The following is a 20,893-nucleotide window of genomic DNA, read 5'->3' on the forward strand; positions in this document are numbered from 1 at the left end:
GAAAGGCAGAAGGAAGGAACTAAAAAAGGAAGGAAGGCAAAACTGCTGCCCCCAAAGGATATTAAAAATATTTTTATTCAGCCAGGCGCAGTGGCTCACGCCTGTAATCCCAGCACTTTGGAAGGCCGAGGCGGGCGGATCACGAGGTCAGGAAATCAAGACCATTCTGGCTAACACGGTGAAACCTGTCTGCACTAAAAATACAAAAAATTAGCCGGGCGTGGTGGCAGGCGCCTGTAGTCCCAGCTACTCGGGAGGCTGAGGCAGAAGAATGGCGTGAACCGGCGAGGCGGAGCTTGCAGTGAGCTGAGATCGCACCACTGCACTCCAGCCTGGGCAAAGAGTGAGACTCCATCTCAAAAAAAAGAAAAAAAAATTATTCTACCTCCTGTTTTTGTATTACCCATTTTTATTAGTCCATTATATTTAGCTTAAATACTGGCCTAGACGGATACTGAACAGGCTGTTATATTACAGCACTTTCTCTTCTATCTATACAGACCTGCATTCATGGAAGGGGGATCTCTTATGGAAAGTTATTTGCAATGCAGCTAAGTTATCCTAAAATAAACAAATCTGGAAGAATAGGGGGCTGACAATGATCTGTTAGACCCTGTTACTAAAGAATTGCTGTTATCTGAGCATTGTATGTGCATTTCAAATAACTCTCAGGAGGAGTTTGTATAGCTTTTGTTTTTTTGTTTTTGTTGTTGTTGCTGTTTAGAGACAGGGTCTCACTATACTGCCCAGGCTAGTCTCGACCTCCTGGACTCAAGTGATCCTCGACCTCCCAAAGTGCTGGGATTGCAGGCATGAGCCACCACATCTGGCCTTGTGGAGCATTTTTAAAGGGAGAAGAGGAAGAAGAGTTTGATACTTTCTGTCCTCATCTCAGTGAGATGCCTTTTTTTTTTTTTTTTTTTGGTCTAATGTATTCTTCCTCAAAAGGGCAGAATCCAAGTCAGATGCAGTGCGAGTGAAGGGGTTAGTCTGTTCTATAAACTGTTAGAGAGATTTAAAAAATAGGCAATCTAATTGACTCATGCATGGCTCACAGCCATATAAATGCTTGCAAAATTGCTTCCTGCACAGTAATAGTGACCACAGAGAAGCAGAAGTAAAATGGAAGCGAGCAAGATGAGAGCTCTTAGGAAATCTTTAGCAGGACTTTCAAACTTTTGTTAAACCTTTTGTTTAACCTTGTGGAGAACTTTCCTTTGGAAAATTAAATGTACTTTCAACAAGCATACTGCAAGTTAAAAGTCACATAATTCACCTACAAAATAAGACCTCATTGGTAGCAAATTTCATTTCTAGAAATATATTGTCTTTCAGAACCAACTGAAGAGAAGCAATTTTTTTTTTTCAAGAAGGACTGCGGCTACATTGTTACTAAGAGATTTGTAATCTGCTTTAAACATGTTACTAAGAAAGAAGTTGACGTAACTACTAAGTTTGCTATTTACATTTAATTAAGGGCATTACTTAAAATGTATTTGGGCATTTGAGCTATTAACAATATACACATTTATAACTTTCCTCATATTCGCTTTTAACAAAATCTTTCTTTTGCTGTCTTCTTCAAAACTCCCTGCCCTTGTATTGATTAGCTTTACCTGTAATTTATTTCCTGGTGTCTCCTTATGCTTTGCTGAAACATGCACCATGCAATTACTCAGCATAATTTGTTTTTTTGTCCCTTGCCAATCATACACCAAAAAAAAAAAAAAGCATATCTCATCTGTTTGTAGTTTCCTTTTACTACTTAATTAAAAGTAATCAGCTGAAAGATTATACTGAAATTAATCTCTAAATTCATTGGTTGGTCACCAACTCGGAGGTAGGAAATAATTTTTTCCATGTAAAACTTCCTTCTAAAAGCCTGAGTTGCAGTAACAATAACAATATAGTTGCACAATATGTAAACAATTATCTCCTGAGTTACAAAAATATTTTTCAGGCATCCACTTGAACTTTTATAATTTATGTCATTACCCTCCTTGTTGGCTTCCAAATAATAATTTATAAGAATTTTATGTATCATCATTTTGAGTCAAAATGAAAGCCTGAATTTCCTTTAGAAACTAAGAAAAACTAATTTATTATTAAGGTGATTTTGTTTTTGTTGTTGTTTTAATGTTTTGAGACAAGTTCTCAGTCTGTTACTCGGGCTGGAGTGCAGTGACACAATCTTGGCCCTCTGCAACCTCTGCCCCCAGGCTCAATCAATCCTCCCACCTCAGCCCCTTGATTAGCTAGGACCACAGGCGTGTACTAGCATGCCCAGCTATTTTTTTTTTTTTTTGTATTTTTAGTAGAGATGGGGTCTCACCGTGTTGCCCAGGCTGGTCTTGAACTCCTGAACTCAAGCTATCCGCCCGCCTCAGCCTCCCAAAGTGCTGGGATTACAGGTGTGAGCCACCGCGCCCCACCAGTGATTTTATTTTTGGTGTTTCATGGTTTACTTAGGAAACTAAAACATTTTATGTATGTGTTTATGTGACTACTAAATTATGACATCAACTGATAAAAGAGTTGAACCATTCTAAGAGAATAAAAGTTTAACTTAAGTCCTGTATTTAAGTTCTTTTAATTCCATCATTAAAATTATGTGTGTGTGTATGTGTGTGTGTGTGTGTAAACACACATACAAAGCAGGAGAAAAATATTCATTCTCAATATACTCTATTTCTTATCTAGAAGATGGATTCTCAGCCGGGTGGGGTGGCTCACACCTGTAACCCAACACTTTGGGAGGCCGAGGCAGGTGGATCGCTTGAGGCCAGGAGTTTGAGACCAGCTTGGACAACCTAACAAAACCCTTTCTCTACAAAAAAAAAAAAAAAAAAAAAAAAACACAAAAATGGCTGGGCGCAGTGGTTTACTCCCGTAATCCCAGCACTTTGGCAGGTCAAGGCGGGTGAATCATCTGAGGTCAGGCATTTGAGACCAGCCTGCCCAACATGGTGAAACCCCGCCTCTACTAAAAATACAGAAAATTAGCCAGATGTGGTGGCCCATGCCCATAGTCCCAGCTACTCGGGAGGCTGAGGCAGGAGAATTGCTTGAACCCAGGAGGCAGAGATTGCAGTGAGCCAAGACCACGCCACTGCCCTCTATCCTGGGCGACAGAGTGAGACTCCGTCTCAAAACAAACAAACAAACCAACACACAAAAATTAGCTGGGCTTTTTTAGTGTGGCACACCCCTATAATGCCAGCTACTTGGGTGTCTGAGGTGTGAATCACTTGAACCCAGGGGGCAGAGGTTGCAGTGAGCTGAGATCATACCACTGTACTCCAGCCTGGGGTGACTGAGTGAGACCCTGTCTCAAAACAAACAAACAAACAAAAACCAAAAAAAACCCCAAGATGGATGGATTATCTTTTAGGAGAAATCTTTTTTTGAATAAAGTTTACTGAGAATCCATTGAAAAGTCTTAGTCCCCTGATATACTTTGGATATGTATCCCCTCTGAAACTTACGTTGAATTGTAATCCCCAATGTTGGAGGTGGGGCCTGGTGGGATGGGAGGTGATTCGATCATGGTGGTGGATTTCTCATGAACGGATTAGCTCTATCATCTTGGTGCCGTCCTCATGATAGTGAGTGAGCTCTCATGAGATCTGGTTGTTTAAAAGTGTGTGGCGCCTTCCCCAAACTCTCTCTCTCTTGCTCCTGCTTTCGCCATGTAAGGTGCCTTCTCCTGCTTTGCCTTGTCCCATGAGTAAAAGCTCCCTGAGGTGTCCCCAGAAGTCAAGCAGATGCTGGTGCCATGCTTGTACAGCCTGCAGAACTTTAAGCCAATTAAACCTATTTTCTTTATAATTTATTCAGTCTTAAGTATTTCTTTATAGCAGTGGAAGAATGGCCTAACACATCCCCCAACTGACAACAGTAAAATTCCCAATTCATCTAGCTCCCTGAGGACATATCTGATCTAATATTGAATTTGTTAGCCCTGAATTGAAATTCAACATTTGCTTGTGGATGCCTACTATTTTTGTACATCTCTAGAATTATAGAGAAACCATCATGATTCACTATGCTTTGAATAATTCCTAGCACACAGTAAATAAATGTGGAAAAAAAATGGAAAAAGGGAGACATAAAGTGTTTTTTAAAAAAGAAGTCAGGGTATAAATCCTATCAAATTCCTGTCCTGAACTAGAAAATTTCCCCTTTGTGTTATGCCATAGTGCAGGATGCTTGCTATTCCAAACTAGGTTCCAATAATTTGAGATTTCCTCATGAGATATTTTGGACATTTTCCAGATCAAAAATGTTCTCAATCTTCTCTTAGAATTTAGGGACTACAGTTAAAATATATGGAAAAAAGGAAGCTACAACCTTCAAATCACTACCCAGGTATGTCCTGCCCTCTTCCCCATAGTCTCTGTGGCTTAAAACACAGGAACAGCTGAGGACAAATGAAGTTTTGGGAAAAGACTGCACTTTTTAACCCAAAGAAGGGCAGAGAGGAGCAGAGCCATAGGTCATGGTATTAACCACTGCCACTGAATTTTCGATCCTTCCATTAAGAGAGCCAACAAATATAGAAAGAGACCTATTTCTAGCCTATCTAGACGAAGAATTAGATGAGTACATTTAACTCCCACTTTGCTGTCCTGTAGCCCCCAAGCCACTGGCTCCTTGGCAGAAAAATTCACCTTCCCCTCCACTTCCAGATTTACATATATGGGTGTAGCTTTACTCTGGAGTAGAAAGGCTGTCGCTCAAGTTCTGTGTAAAGGATAAACCTTTTACCTGTGTTGACAGAACTCCACAGGGCAGGCCAGGCAAATGAATATGCTTGTTGCTAGGATACCACACTGTTTCCATGACAGCAGGCCACTGCTGTTTGCTACTCTCTTGACCACTAGCACACACACCTGTTCCTTAAGAAATATGCTTGTTTCCCTTCATTATAAGGCAAATATTTAGTAGAAAATAACACAACTACATGGCTGCAACTTCTCTAGCTTTCCAGAATAAATATAATACATCAACTACAATTTGATGTGTGGAAAGGGAATTCACATATCCATGTGTATCCCAAGTCTTCATATGCAATAAAATGTTTTAAATGATTGACTGATTCATTGTTACATTTATAGCCCACCATGTGCCACAGAAGAGTTGAGTCAACAAAGCATATTGTTTCTGAGGCCACTCTAACATTCATCCTACATGCTGCTTACACAGTGACTGTTGTATTATGAGTTTTTCAAAGATTACACTTCATGGTTCCCTGTGGAACTCATCTTTTTTTTTTTTTTTTTTTTTTTTGAGACAGGATCTCATTCTGCTGCCCAGGCTGGAGTGCAGTGGCACAATCACTGCTCACTGCAACCTCAACCTCCCAGGCTCAAGCAATCCTCTCACTTCAGCCTCCCTTGTAGCTGGGAGTACAGGTGCACACCACCATGCCTGGTGAATTTTTTTTATTTTTTGTAGAGATGGAGATCTCACTGTGTTGCCCAGGTTGGTCTTGAGCTCCTGGACACAAGCAATCTGCCTGCCTCGGCCTCCGAAAGTGTTGGAATATAGGCATGAGCCACTGCGGCTGGCTGGAAATCACCAGTTTTTTTTTTTTCTCCTACTGGCATCCGGTTGTCACAAAAATTGCCACCACTACTGACTATGACTGCTAGCCAGGACCAGGACTAAAGTGCCTAGGTGCACATTTTAAGTAGGTCCTCACTTTCAGGGTCGGGCATGTGCACTTCTGCCAACATCTACCCAAAGGTAATGAATACCTGAGTCATGGGTGCCAAGGTCTGGATCATAGTGATGGTTGTACAATTGTATAAATTTACCAAAAACAATTCAAATGTGCATGTCCAGTAGTTGTATTTATCACATATAAATTATATCTCAATAGAGCTGTCAACAATGACCAAACAAATACTCTGTAGACACTCCTATATCACTGAAGTAATTTTCAAATCTCTTATAATTTGTGCTGTGGTTTGGATATGTGACTGTGTCTCTTCCGTTCAACTGTTAAGTTTGTCAAAGGTAAGACCTGCATTTTACACACTTTTGTAACTTCCCCAGTGATCAGCTGGATTCGCTGCACATAAAAAATGTTCAATAAATATTTGCTGAGTGTTTTATGACATATATTTAATATCTTGCTTCCTGAACTTCTAGCTTTGGGTCTTCTTTGAGAGCCAAATTTTGTTGTATCTTATATTCTACCATCACAAATGCTAGAAATACAAAGCATATCTCTATTTGCTTTATATTTGCCCATGAATACATTTTTTTACACAGCTCTATGTAAAGGCTTGTTAGAGGTCATTAGGCAGTAGGGTCTGAAGAGGAGGATAAATTGAGCAAGAGACAAAGACTGATTTGTATTTCCTATTGCATCAAAAATAATAAATGCAGAGCAAAAAGGGGAGGGGGAGGCAACGATGGTGGCATTTACAACTTGTGTTTACCCACTATCCCTTCCCCTTTCTATAGGATATTTTCACTTTAAAAGGAAAAAAATGTAAGGGAACCTATTTAAAATGTGGGATTTATGACACAGAAAAGGAAAAATAAAATAAAATTCTTTCCAGAAACCAGAAAGTCTACCAAAGGATGCACCTCGTTCCATTGTGATATCAAAACATAGAGAAACTAATTTAAAAAACCACTTGAAATATAATATTCCTCTGACCCCAAATTCTTGAGCAAAAATAAAAACAAGAAAATGACTATTTTATGTTAACCAAATGGAAATAGGGCATAATTCTAGGCAAAAGCCCTTTGAGGCAGACAGAATTAGTTCTGTCACTAAAAGAGGTGGAAAGATTGGTGGTTGCCTGTGGCTAGGGGTGGGTTGGGCTGTGACTGCTAATGGATACAGTTTCTTTTTGGGGTGATGAAATGTTCTAAAAGTTATTGTGGTGACAGTAGGACAACTCAGTGAATATATTTTTAAAACTATATGATAGGCCAGGTGCCGTGGCTCACGCCTATAATCCCCACATTTCGGGAGGCCAAGATAGAGGCCAGGAATTTGAGACCAGCCTGGCCAACATTAAGAAACCCCATCTCTACTAAAAATACAAAAGGTAGCCAGATGAGGTAGCACACATCTGTAATCCCAGCTACTCAGGAGGCTGAGGCAGGAGAATCACTTGAACCCGGGAGGCAGCAGTTGCAGTGAGCTGAGATCGCGCCACTGCACTCCAGCCTGGGCAACAGTGCGAGACTCTGTCTGGACACACACACACACACACACACACACACGATACAAGAATTATATCTCAATAAAGTATATATATAGACACACATATGCACATGTCTTTATGAATATATATATATGTGTGTGTGTGTGTGTGTGTGTGTGTGTATAGTCTCTACTGAAAACCCTTCAACAGTTTGGATAAAGTCCAGCCCCTTAGAACTGCCCACACAGCCCTTCATTACCTTCATCTACTCATCCCAACTGTAACTCTTGCCATTTTCCACCAGGGACCCCAGGATCCAGACATACTAAATGATTTGCAGTTTTCCTCATTTTGGACCTTTGCAAAAGTTGTTTTTCTGCCTAGAATACCCTTATTCCTCTTTTTCTCTTACTCCTGTTAGTTTTTCAAAACTCAGGTTCAAATTTCATCTATGGGAGCTCATTCCTGTACCATACAACATGGTTAGGTTCAGTACCCTCTGGTAATTTTTTCTGTATTTGTCTGTCTCCTCTATTAGATTATAAACTCCTTAAGTCTTATATCTTATTCTTAATAGCTAGTGTAGGGTCTGGCACATGCCAGTACTACATTTATTCCAAAAAAATTTAATGAATTAATATTTTGATTATACTACTCCTTTTATAGTACTATAAATTATTTGTTTGTATCTTTATTTCTTCAATAAATTGTGAGCTCCTTACCTTATTCATCTTTGCATTTCTCAGGTAACACAATTTCAAGTATATAATAGATATTCTATAATACAATGATGGATATATATTATATTACATTATATTATTGGATGAGGCTCCGCAGAAAACAGTTAAACTACAGGTATCCTATGTTGACATGGCTTTCTTTTTCTTTAGAGATGGGGTCTCACATTTTGCCCAGGCTGGTCTCCAACTCCTGGGCTTAAGCCATTCTCCCACTTTGGCCTCCCAAACTGCTAGGATTACAGGTATGAGCCACCATGCTCAGCCACTGACATGGATTTCTGAAAGTCCTAAAATGTGTTTTTAAAATGTATACTGCAGGCAGGCACCGTGGCTCACGCCTATAATCCCAGCACTTTGGGAGGCCGAGGTGGGCAGATTGCCTGAGCTCAGGAGTTTGAGACCAGCCTGGCCAACATGGTGAAACCTCATCTCTATAAAAAATACAAAAAAATTAGCCAGGCATGGTGGCACATGCCTGTAGTCCCAGCTACTTGTGGGACTGTGGTGGAAGGATCACTTGAGCCCGGGAGGTTGAGGCTGCAGTGAGCTGAGATTGCACCACTGCACTCCAGCCTAGGTGACAGCGTGAGACTGTCTCCAAAACAAACAAACAAAACAAAACGCCCCCCACCACACACACACGTGCACAAATAAAATGTGTATTGCAAGTGTCATTTAAATATGTAGATATAGATCAATAATTTGGTTTATCTAATTCATAAACATTTCATTCTACAGAGAAATATGACTTGTTAAATAATATGTTCAAGTTGATTAAAACTCACACATAATTTACCAATTGAACATATTTCCCCAACACATACCAAATCAAAACAATCTGTCTTTGTTTGTAGGATATGATTGAATTCCCGGCAGCAAATAGAATTCGCTGGCCCATTATACTAACACAAAGGCTGTTAGAATGTGAATGTCTGATGCATATTAAGCACTGACATTCAGGGGTCAGGTGGAATAGTGTTTTATAAACTCAATCAGTCTTTATTACAGCAATAACAAATAATTTCACAGAAACAATCTCCAGGCTCATGATATCACAGAAGGTGCATATAATTCAAATCTGAATAGCCATATTTGAATGATCAACTGTGTTTTCTATATAAGCTATAATAAAATGTTAGCTTTTGGCCAGGCGTGGTGGCTTATGCCTGCAATACCAGAACTTTGGGAGGCTGAGGTGGGTGGATCACAAGGTCAGGAGATCGAGACCATCCTGGCTAACACGGTGAAACCCCGTCTCTACTAAAAATACAAAAAATTAGCTGGGTGTGGTGGCACGCGCCTGTAGTCCCTACTCAGGAGGCTGAGGCAGGAGAATCACTTGAACCAGGGAGGTGGAGGTTGCAGTGAGCCAAGATCACACCACTGCACTCCAGCATGGGCAACAGAGCAAGACTCCATCTGAAAAAAAAAAAAAAAATTAAAACTGTAAACTTTTTTTTTTTTGAGACGGAGTCTCACTCTGGAGCGCAATGGTGCGATCTCAGCCCACTGCAACCTCTGACTCCCAGGTTCAAGTGATTCTCCTGCCTCAGCTTCCCAAGTAGCTGGGATTACAGGTGCCCGCCACCACACTTAGCTAATTTTTGTATGTTTTAATAGAGACGGGTTTTCACCATGTTGGTCAGGCTGGTCTCGAGCTCCTGACATCAAGTGATCCACCCGCCTCAGCCTCCCGAAGTGCTGGGATTACAGGCGTAAGCCACCATGCCCCGCCATAAAATGTTAATTTTGAAAACACTGCAAGACAGTGGATTCAGGAAGCCTCATGGGAAATAATCATGTTATATACCCATTTACAGATGAGGAAACTAGGACACAGCAACACTAGGTTACTCGCTCAAGGTCAGATCGGTAAAAAGTGTCAAATTCAGGCTATTACCAACGTGTTCTGAACTTTAAATTTGGGTTATTCCCTGTGGTACCATGCTGCCTGCATCTTTTCAAAACATGATTTGTACTGGGGAGATTATAAAGCAGTTAGCTGGGTGTGGTGGGGCGTGCTTGTAGTCTCAGTTACTCCGGAGGCTGAGGTGGGAGGATCACTTGAGCCCAGGAGTTCAAGGCTGCAGTGAGCTATGATAGTGCCACTGCACTGCAGCCTGGGTGACAGAATGAAACCCTGTCTCAAAAAATAAAAATAAACAAAGAAGGAGATGTGAACTCCATCCCACTCCTCACCCCGTATCTGCTGATCTAGAGTCTAATGACCACCTAACTTAATAAAGTCAGGTGCCAGAGTAAATGAGCAGTCCACAGATTTGGGTTTCACAGACGTTTCTTCCTGATCCCATGGACTGAATCTGGCCTCTTTTCCTCCTTTGTTGGTAATGGCACTCCTCCCAGGCATTTAGAAGCGAGCAATTGGGCCTTAAAGGAGCGAGTTGGTCTTGAAAAAAGCTGTTCTTCCTGACCTTTCAATTGGCAAAATTCATACTAGCTTTCATAGACCATAGGCTGATTTAGTGAGTACTGACTGTGACAAGTTATTGCACTATTTTACACATTTTGTCTTGTTTTGTTTTATCCCTACAAAAACTCACTGAAACGTGTAGCATTCTTATCATGTCATTTTACAGATGAAGAAACACCTTAAGGGAGGTTAAGTAATTTGCTCAAGATCATGAGGTAGCAAGTGTTGAATGCAGAATTTGATCCAGGGGGGAAGACTCCAGAGCCCAGGCTATTATTCTCTTGCCTTTGAACATAAAGATAGTTGAGGCCATTCTGTGCTGAACTCCCGCCTCTGCACCTTTAATCATCAGGCCCCAGCAGTTAAGATCTCTTCAAAGGTTCTGCATGGTTTCAGACTAACTGGGTAACAAAACAAGTATCAGAAGTACAATATCCATTCTGAATCTAAAATACAGTCTCTAAGATTTAAAGTGTTCATGGATTAGAAGACTGAATATTTTTGCCGATTCTCCCAAAATTGGTCTACAGATTCAGTGCAATCTCAATCAAAATTCTAGCAGACTTCTTTGTATATATGAAAAGCTGATTCTAAAATTGACTGTGATTTATAATCATCAAAACAATATTTTAAAAATTGGAGGATTCACACAACCTGATTTCAACACTTAATCTAAAGCTACGGTAACCAAGAGGATGTAGAATTGGTGAAAAAATAGGGACGTAGATAAATGAAACAAAATGGAGAATCCAGAAATAGACTCACAAATAGATGGTCAACTGACTTTTAACAAAGGAGCAAAAGTATTCAGTAGACAAAGAATACCCTTTTTAACAAATGAAGCCAAAACAATTGGACACTCAAAAGCATAAAAAATCAACCTTAATCCACATCCTGCAAGATATACAAATATCAAATTAAAATCTGTCATAGGGCTGGGCGCTGTGGCTTACACCTATAATCCCAGCACTTTGGGAGGCCAAAGCGAGTGTATCACTTGAGATCAGGAGTTCAAGACCAGCCTGGCTAACATGGTGAAAACCCACCTCTACTAAAAATACAAAAATTAGCCAGCTGTGGGGCCACACACCTGTAATCCCAGCTACTCGGGAGGCTGAGGCAGGAGAATAGCTCGAATCCAGGAGGCAGAGGTTACAGTGAGCCGAGATTGCACTGCTGTACTCCAGCCTGGGTGACAGAGTGAGATTTCATTTCAAAAAAACAAAAAATAAAAATAAAATAAAATAGATCATAGACCATTTAAATAAAACCATAGACCATATAGCAAGATCTAAAAATATAAAGTTTCTGGAAGAAGAAAACATAGAAGAAAATTATTGCGACCTTGAGTTACACAAAGATTTTTTAGATAGGACACACAAAAAAATATGAGCCACAACAGAAAAAAAAATCAATAAATTGGATTTAATAAAATTTTTTTAAACTTTTACTCTTTGACAAACACTATTAGGAAATTAAAAGACAATTACCTACTGGGTACAATATCTATAAATCACATATATCTAGAATATATAAAGAATTCTCATATATCAATAATAAGAAAACAAGCAATCTGGCCAGGCACAGTAGTTTATGCCTGTAATCCCAGCACTCTAGAAGGCCAAGGCAGTTGGATTGCTTGAGCCCAGGAGTTCGAGAAAAGCCTGGGCAACATGGTGAAACCCTATCTCTACAAAAAAAATACAAAAATTAGCCAGTCATGGTGGTGTGCGCCTGTAGCCCCGGCTACTCAGGAGGCTGAAGTGGGAGGATCGATTGAGCCCAGGAGTTGGAGGCTGCAGTGAGCCATGATCATGCCACTGCACTCTAGCCTGGGCAACAGCACAAGACTCTGTCTCAAAAAAAAGAAAAAAAAAAGGAAGAAAAAACAAGCAATCCAATTAAAATGGGAAAAATAATTGAATAGACCCTTCACCAAAAAAGATATATGAACAAGATATAAGCATATAAAAAGTTGTGCAACATCATTAGGCATTAAGGAAAATCAAATTAAAGCTATAATGAGATAGCACTCCATACCTATTATAATGGCAAAAAAAAAAGAAAAAGAAAAAGAAAAAGAAAAAACCCCAAAAAACATGACAATACTAAATGCTGGCCAGGATGCAGAGCAACTGGAACTCTCATGCATTGCTGGTGGGAATACAAAATGTACAGCCATTTTAGAAAATAATTTCATGCTTTTTTATAAAGTTAAACATGTATATGCCGGGTGCAGTGGCTCACGCCGGTAATCCCAGCACTTTGGGAGGCCGAGGCGGGCAGATCACGAAGTCAGGAGATTGAGACCATCCTGGCTAACACGGTGAAACCCCGTCTCTACTAAATATACAAAAAATTAGCCGAGCGTGGTGGCAGGCGCCTGTAGTCCCAGCTACTTGGGAGGCTGAGGCAGGAGAAGGGCGAGAACCCGGGAGGCGGAGCTTGCAGTGAGCTGAGATTGCAGCCACTGCACTCCAGCCTGGGCGACAGAGTGAGACTCTGTCTCAAAACAAAACAAAAATATATTTACCCTATGAACCACCAATCCCAATTCTTAGGTATGTACCCAAGGGAAATCAAGATATGTGTTCATACAAATATCTGAATATAAATTTTTATAGCAGTATGGCTGGGTGCGGTGGCTCACACCTGTAATCCCAGAACTTTGGGAGGCAGAGGCGGGTGGATCACCTGAGGTCAGGAGTTTGAGACCAGTCTGGCAAACATAGTGAAATCCCATCTCTACTAAAAATACAAAAAGTAGCTGGATGTGGTGGTGGGCGCCTGTAATCCTAGCTACTCTGGAGGCTGAGGCAGGAGAATTACTTGAACTTGGGAGGTGAAGGTTGCAGTGAGCTGAGATAGAGCCACTGCACTCCAGCCTGGGTGACAGAGTGAGACTCCATCTCAATAAATAAATAAATAAATTTTTATAGCAGCTTTATTCATAACCAACAATGACTGGAAGCAACCAAGATGTCTTTCAATAGCTGAATCGGTAAATACATCATAGTACATCCATAGAATATCACACAGCAGTAAAAGGGATGGACTAATTTTATATGCAGAAATATAGATGACTATAGGCCAGGCACGGTGGCTCACGCCTGTAATCCCAGCACTTTGGAAGGCCGAGGCAGGTGGATCACAAAGTTGGGAGTTCAAGACCAGCCTGGCCAACATGGTGAAACCCTGTTTCTACTAAAAATACAAAAATTAGCCAGGTGTGGTGGCATGTGCCTGTACTCCCAGCTACTTGGGAGGCTGAGGCAGGAGAATCACTTGAAACCAGGAGGCAGAGGTTGCAGTGAGCCTAGAATGCGCCATTGCACTCCAGCCTGGGCAACAGAGCATCTCAAAAATAAAAAAATTTTAAAAAAAATAAAATGGATGACTATATAAAGCCTTATGCTAAGTGAATAAAACCAGATGCAGAAGGCTATTTATATACATATATATACACACACACATATGTATATATATATACACACATATGTATACTTGTGTGTATATATATATATTTTGGAGACAGGGTTTGCTCTGTCACCCAGGCTGGAGTGCAGTGGCACGATCTCGGCTCACTGCAACCACCACCTCCTGGGTTCAAGCAATTCTCGTGCCTCAGCCTCCTGAGTAGCTGGGACTATAGGCATGAGCCACCATGCCCGGCTAATTTTTGTATTTTTATTAGAGATGGGGTTTCGCCATGTTGGCCAGGCTTGTCTCGAACTCCTGACCTTAGGTGATCTGCTTACCTCAGCCTGCCAAAGTGTTGGGATTACAGGCATGAGCCACTGTGCCCAGCCAGAAGGCTATATATTATATGATTGTATTTATATGACATTCTGGAAAAGATAAAACTATAGAGACCAAAAGCACATCAGTGGTTACTAGGGACTAGGGAGGGAGGGAGGGGTTATCTACAAAAGAGCACAAGGGAACTTTTGAGGATGATGGAAATATTCTGGATACATTCGTCAAGATTCCTACATTGTGCACCTAAAAAGTATTTTACTGTGCCTAGATTATAACTCAGCAAGCCTGACTATGAAAAAAGTAAATGAATAAATGCAGTCTCTAAAGCGAGAGTTTTTCAAATTAGTAAGATATAATCCATCAGTGAGTCAGTTGTGAATTCAATTTAGTGGGTTGTGACTGGCATTTTAAAAAAGTGAAATTGGCTGGCCATTGTGGGGCTCATGCCTGTAATCCCAGCACTTTGGAAGGCCAAGATAGGAGGATTGTTTCAGCCTAGGAGTGTGAAATCAGCCTAGGCAATATGTGAGACCCCAGTCTCTACAAAAAGTAGAAAAAATTTAGCCAGGTATGGTGGCACACACCTGTGGTCCCAGCTAAATGGGAGGCTGAGGTGGGAGGATTGCTTGAGCCCGGGAGGTGGAGGTTGCAGTGAGCTGAGATCGTACCACTGCACTCCAGCCTGGGCGACAGAGAGCGATTCTGCCTCAAAATAAATGCATAAAGTGAAAATAGACTAATATAAGAAATCATTGCACACAGTAAGAGGAATATGGTTAATGAAACATTTGTTTCAGTTTCATATATATGTATATATGTACTATAATAATGTGTCACAAAAAAGAAACCGTCATTCGATCTGTTTTTAATATACGGAATTTAATACAGGAAACTGGTTACACAAATGATAACGCTGAGAAGCCAAATAGGGGAAGGTGAGGCAACCAGAGATTAGCAGCAGCAGAAACCACTAATCCTTTTCGACTAGAGGGACAAAGAGAGGAGGCAGTGTGGTTAGATCCCAGAACTGGACTCATCTAATGACAGGAGGGCCTTTCTGGCTGGAGCTGGAGCCAGGGAGGAGATTTAGCCACTGTCAGAGATGCACCTCGGGCAGAGAAAGGCAAGGAGAATCATCCTAGCTTTTCCATTCTTCCCACTCTCCAGCGTTGTGGCAGGGCCTCGTATCAGTAGGACCCAGCCAGTAATCACTTAACAACATGAGAGCCTCAGAAACACAGCCTGTTGGGATCAGCATACCCATGACATTGCAGCAGAATAGGAAAGGATTTGAGAGCAAACAGGCCAGGGGCCGCCACAGTTGTGAAGTAATATATATTTCTGATTGAGGTTTGGGTTCTAAAAGATTTAAAAGCCATTACCTTAGACGACAAAGCTACCCTCTCAATTTTATGTGGTTCTCTCTACATATTGAAAGAATAAAATCATACTTTTGATCATTAGGGGATAGCAAATTTTGCCCTTTTTAATGTTCTGGTGGAAGGCAGTTTGAACTGAAGAAGTCAGATGGGGAGAATAATCCACTTCTCTCAGTAGTGTTTTGTTTTGTTTTGTTTTGTTTTGTTTTAGAGACAGGGTCTTACTCTGTTGCCCAGGCTGGAGTGCAGTAGCAGGATCACGGCTCACTGCAACCTCTTCTTGGGTTCAAGTGATCCTCCCACTTCAGCCTGTCAAGTAGCTGGGACTAGAGGCACGCACCACCATGCTCAGCTAATTTTTAAGTATTTTTTGTAGAGATGGGGTCTTGCTATGTTGCCCTCCCAAAGTGCTGGAATTATAGGTGTGAGCCACCATGCCCAGACCCTTTTTAGTTTAGGAGTAGTCTTATAAAGCTCTCTTCGTAAAGAAGTTAAAACTTCTAACAGATGCAGGTGAAATATAGGCTAGAAACAACAGAACAGGAAAGAAGTACACAAGCAGCAAATATGTAAGCAAAGGAACCAGATGCTTCTCTCCTTGACTGTGTACAAGGAAACTCATAGTACGTGCTTAAGAATTGGCAAGCTGAGTACCAAATTGCCTCTGCTGGCAGCTATATGTGTGAGAATTCTACAAAATTGCCTGGATCCACAAGGACATCAGCGACCAAAATTCATTTACAGCACCGTATTTCTGACTGGTGGCTATCTGTTACTCTGGTTCCAAAACTCTGACCTTCAATTACTTTAGATTTCTGATCCCATCCCAAGAAATGGCTCCCAAAGCTCCCTCAGCCCTTTACTACCTCCTTGATTTGAGACCAAACCTAATGCTTGATCCCTTGTGCTTGGAAACATCCTAGCACCCACTTTTGGACTTCTACCCTGTACCGACGGTGCACAAACAATGTACTTCAATCTGTTCATTTTCTCTCTGGTCTCTTTCAGTCAACTTTAATACAATTCTGGCAATATCATTTTAAACTCAACTGTATAATTATCAAGAGTTATTTTTAAAGGCAATGAATATTTGTTGGGTGAATGAGTGGATGGATGGATGGATGGATGGATGGATGGATGGATGGATGGATGGATGGATGGATGGATGGTTGGATGGATGGATAGATGAAGGCAATGGAAGTCTCAGTTCTACTTTTCAGCCAGGCTGAGGGGAAGTCCTGAAGCCAGTATCGTGGCTCTTCGTTTAAAGACCACCAGAATGCCATTGCACTGCCATCTAGTGGTAGCATAGCCACATATAGGAAAAGAAATGGCGGAAAAACAAGCCTGAATGCAAAATGAGTGAATGTCATAGCTGTTTCGCAGATTCTGGCTGCTTATAATTGCCTCTCCTCAGTTGACTATCTTTGATAGTAATACCATTTCACCTTGATTGTTTAACACATGTACGAAGAACACCAGCAGGGTTATATAAATAGATTTCACTAGCTCAGCCACCGTATGGTGGGATAGGTACTCACCGGTACAATGATGCCAAAGGTCTGTGTTCCTTTTGAGACAGTCATTGGGCCCATGGTTTTCTAAAGTGTGATAACCAGCTGTTTTCAAAGAGAAGCATGATAACAATGTTATTACTTCCACACTTCAGCTTTAATTTGATGACTTCTTTTAGAGAACATACTTTGTTTCTGGACAAATGGTAGTCTTTTCCTTTATACAGTCTTTTCCTGGATAAGTGATAAATTGGTAGAAACTCTTTATCTCAGAATGAAATTATGTAAAAGCAAAATAAAATAGCTGCAAATTTTAGGCAACCAGGAGTATAAAATGAGGACTTCATGTAATAATAAAACTGTATTATTAATAATAAACGGTATAATTAAGTTATCTTGGCTGAAGGGAGTTGAGATTGAGTCAGGCTGGCCTGAGAGATATGAAAACATCTCCCTAAAGGACTTTATATTTGTTTTTCTTTTTTCCCATTATCATCTTATCTTTATCTTAAAGCCTTGGCATTTCTGTTAGAACAAACACATCACAAAATTTTTTTTCTTGTAATACCACTTGGAAAGATAGCAGTGGTATGTCAGATTCAGACAAATTTGTATGCCCCAAGACATTTTACCACCGATACTCAGGATAGTCCATGAAAGGACCCCATGTAAACCCAAATCTAGAGATCTGGCTCAGAAAAACAGCCACTATTTTCCCCAGAAATGCTAACGGCCTTTGGACCTTTGGCTCAAAGCACCACCTGCCCAGTGCTACCCAGGTAGATAAGCAGGCACAGAGGCCAGCAAACCGTAAGCTGGTGACTGTGGGCAGACCCTTCTCAGCCTCCTTAATCTTAAAAACAAAAAGCTCATCTGGAAAGCAAGGAACATCGATTTGGCACCGTCTGGTCACTGAAAGAACTGCTGCCTCGGGCAAGCAGGGGCTCGGATCAACCCTACAAAGTCCTGTCCTCTAACTCCCAAGTACCTGTGGTGACCGCCTCCTTCCAAAGAGCGAAGGAAGGTTCAGTTCAGAGGATGTTAAGCTTCCTTTGGCTCACACAGCAGACAAGAAATCAGACCCCTTTTACCAAGCAGGCCTGGGGCCCACAGATACCCATGGAAATCGGTATGTATTTCTAAGTCAAAAACTTCCATCCATGTGAGAGAAGATTTGAGTCAACCTCAGCTATCTTTCTTCTTTAGAACTGTCTGCCTCATACTTTGTGGATGCCTACTTTGGAAAGGTGAACCTTGGGCAAGACATTAAGCTCTCTAAGCCTCAATTTTCTCACAGATAAAATGGGGATAGCGGTATTTACCTCAGAGGGTCATTGTGAGACAATACGTGGCAAGCACTGAGTCCAGTGTATAGAACGAATATATAGAATGCATTAAGTGAGCAGAAACTGTAGTTGTTGAGTGCTTCTACACAGACAGAAATGGAAGAATAGCAGGTTCAGGAGAGGAGAAAGAAGAAACGAATACACAGTGCATGTCAACAGGATAACATATAGAGGATTTCTAAAAGCCACCTCCAAGACAAATTCAGGTCCCAGGAGGAACAGACTGTACAATCCTGAGTTTCAAGAAGGATGAACAGATACATCAAAGGTGATGCATGATTTGGAGGCATAAAAGTAAGCAATGTCTTCACAATACTACACATCCAGAGAAACACAAATGCAGCGTCATCTGTGGACACGGTCCTCCTGTTAACTCCATACAAGATCAGCCCTCCATCTGCAGGTGTCATAGCTTCCTCAACAATTAGTTCCCAAGTCCTATAAAATACCCAACCAAAAAATTGTAGATCTTTCATCTTTTAGGGAAATTTTTAATTGTAAATTTAGGATTCCACCATTTATTTAAAGCAAAGTCACTAGTAGCTGAGGGTGGTGGCACACGTGGGTGGTACCAGCTACTCAGGAAGTGGAGGCGGGAGGATCACTTGAGCAGCCCAGAAGTAGGAGGCTGCAGTGAGCTATGATCACACCACTCCATTCTGGCCTGGGTGACAGACTGAGACCCCATGTCTTTAAAAAAAAAAAAAAAAAAAAAGCAAAAAGCAAAGCCACTATATTAGTGTAAGGAGGGCGTGCCTGCTTCCTTACAGATGATATCACATGTGTTCTTGTTTACTTATTTATTTAACTTAATTTTTTTTTAGATAGAACCTTGCCCTGTCACCCAGGTTGGAGTGTAGTGGCACAATCTCAGCTCACTGCAACCTCTGCCTCTTGGGTTCAAGTGATTCTCCTGCCTCAGCCTCCCCAGTAGCTGAGACTACAGGCACTCACCAGCATGCTTGGCTAATTTTTGTAGTTTTGGTAAAGATGTGGTTTCATCGCGTTGGCCAGGCTGGTCTCGAGCTCCTGAGCTCAAGTGATGTGCCTGCCTCGGCCTCCCAAAGTGCTGGGATTACAGACATTAGCCACTGCGTCCTGCCAATATCACACATGTTCTGAGATGAAAACCAGAATGGCTTTCTTGTCTGGGTTCCTGACTGCTCCTTAGCTTTGAGTTCTTCTAGTTTCTTCTCACAGAGACTCATGAAGTAATCATCTGGTTCAATCCCTGCATTCTTCAAATTTTCCAGGAATTTTTCCAGTGTGTCCACTGATCTGGCTTCCTCAATCTTTCTTGTGCTCAGGTAGAGTGAACTCCTAGAAATCCAGGTGCTTACAAGTGTCCACAGAGGAGATATTTCTGACATCACTAATTCTATCCAAACAAGGAAAAAACATCAGTTCTGACAACTTCTCTAGGTCCCAGAGGCTCACTTGGAATCCAATTAACTAGGACTAGAAGCCAGTGCCTCCACTGGGTATCACAAAGGCCCCTAGTGGCATTAGTTCTGTAGAAACTGGGCTTCTACAGGCCAGGATCACCTCATAAAGGTGTGAGGGGACTGCCATCTTGTCTCACCGATCATCTGGTACCTCTTTTCTTTCCATCACTTCTAGTCTGCGGTAAGGTCAAAGGCCAAGATACTACCCAAATATCTTCAAACCTCCCTGTCAGTTCTCAACAGAACATTTCTATTCTGTTTCAACATCCAGAATTATTATGAAATCCCAAGGCACAATAGTAGAAAGGTAAAAGGTTTCAGCTTTACTTGAACATTTGTTATTTCCAGCTGGAGCCGTGTGTCCTCAGGACTACCTGCTTCCAACATGGTCCTCGCTGAAGGCAGTGAAGGTTGGAGGGATATTGGGACCAGGCTTAAATATACAATGTTTTCTGTCTGCATCACCTTGTCTCTGTTCCAGTTAAAGGGAATCCAAATTGTCCCCAGAGCCTTTTCTGCAGATTCATCCAGCCCCCTCACTGCCACCACTGCCTCAGCACCCTGACTCCAGAGGAACTGCAGGGCTGTGAGCCGACTCCCATGGTGCCCACTATAGCCCTGACCGTGCAGCCACTCCAAAAACACCAGGCGCCTCTGAGGTGGGAAGTAATACCCTCGGCAGTTATCTGACCCAAAGTACCACATATTTGCTTTATTTATTTATTTATTTATTTTTGAGACAGAGTCTCTGTCTGTCGCCCAGGCTGGAGTGCAGTGGCAAGATCTCGGCTCACTGCAACCTCTACGTCCCAGGTTCAAGCAATTCTCCTGCCTCAGCCTCCTGAGTAGCTGGGATTACAGGTGCCAGCCACCATACCTGGATAATTTTTGTATTTTTTAGTAGAGACAGGGTTTCACCATGTTGGCCAGGCTGGTTTCTAACTCCTGACCTCAGGTGATCTGCCCGCTCAGCCTCCCAAAGTGCTGGGATTACAGGTGTGAGTCATCTTGCCCAGCCACATGTTTGCTTTAAATGGAATGTCTGGGGACTGTTAAACATGTGCCTAGGCATACTTCCACATTCGAATGGGTTCCAAGAGTCCTGTGGAA

General features: G+C 41.5%; 1 long non-coding RNA gene and 1 pseudogene across 1 annotated transcript in view; both read right to left on the reverse strand.

Annotated features, from left to right (window-relative positions):
- LOC107985161 (uncharacterized) overlaps positions 1-17,302 on the reverse strand; it is a 39,761-nt gene extending 22,459 nt beyond the window's left edge. Inside the window, exons 1-2 of the long non-coding RNA XR_001753365.2 lie at positions 17,181-17,302; positions 17,020-17,097 (exon numbers count right to left, since the gene is read on the reverse strand). This is a non-coding gene — a long non-coding RNA (uncharacterized LOC107985161). The remainder of the gene's footprint in view (positions 1-17,019; positions 17,098-17,180) is intronic.
- On the reverse strand, positions 17,812-20,484 carry EXOGP1 (EXOG pseudogene 1; annotated as a pseudogene).

Source organism: Homo sapiens, chromosome 18 (genome assembly GCF_000001405.40).
Source record: "Homo sapiens chromosome 18, GRCh38.p14 Primary Assembly".
Taxonomy (NCBI): Eukaryota; Metazoa; Chordata; class Mammalia; order Primates; family Hominidae; genus Homo; species Homo sapiens.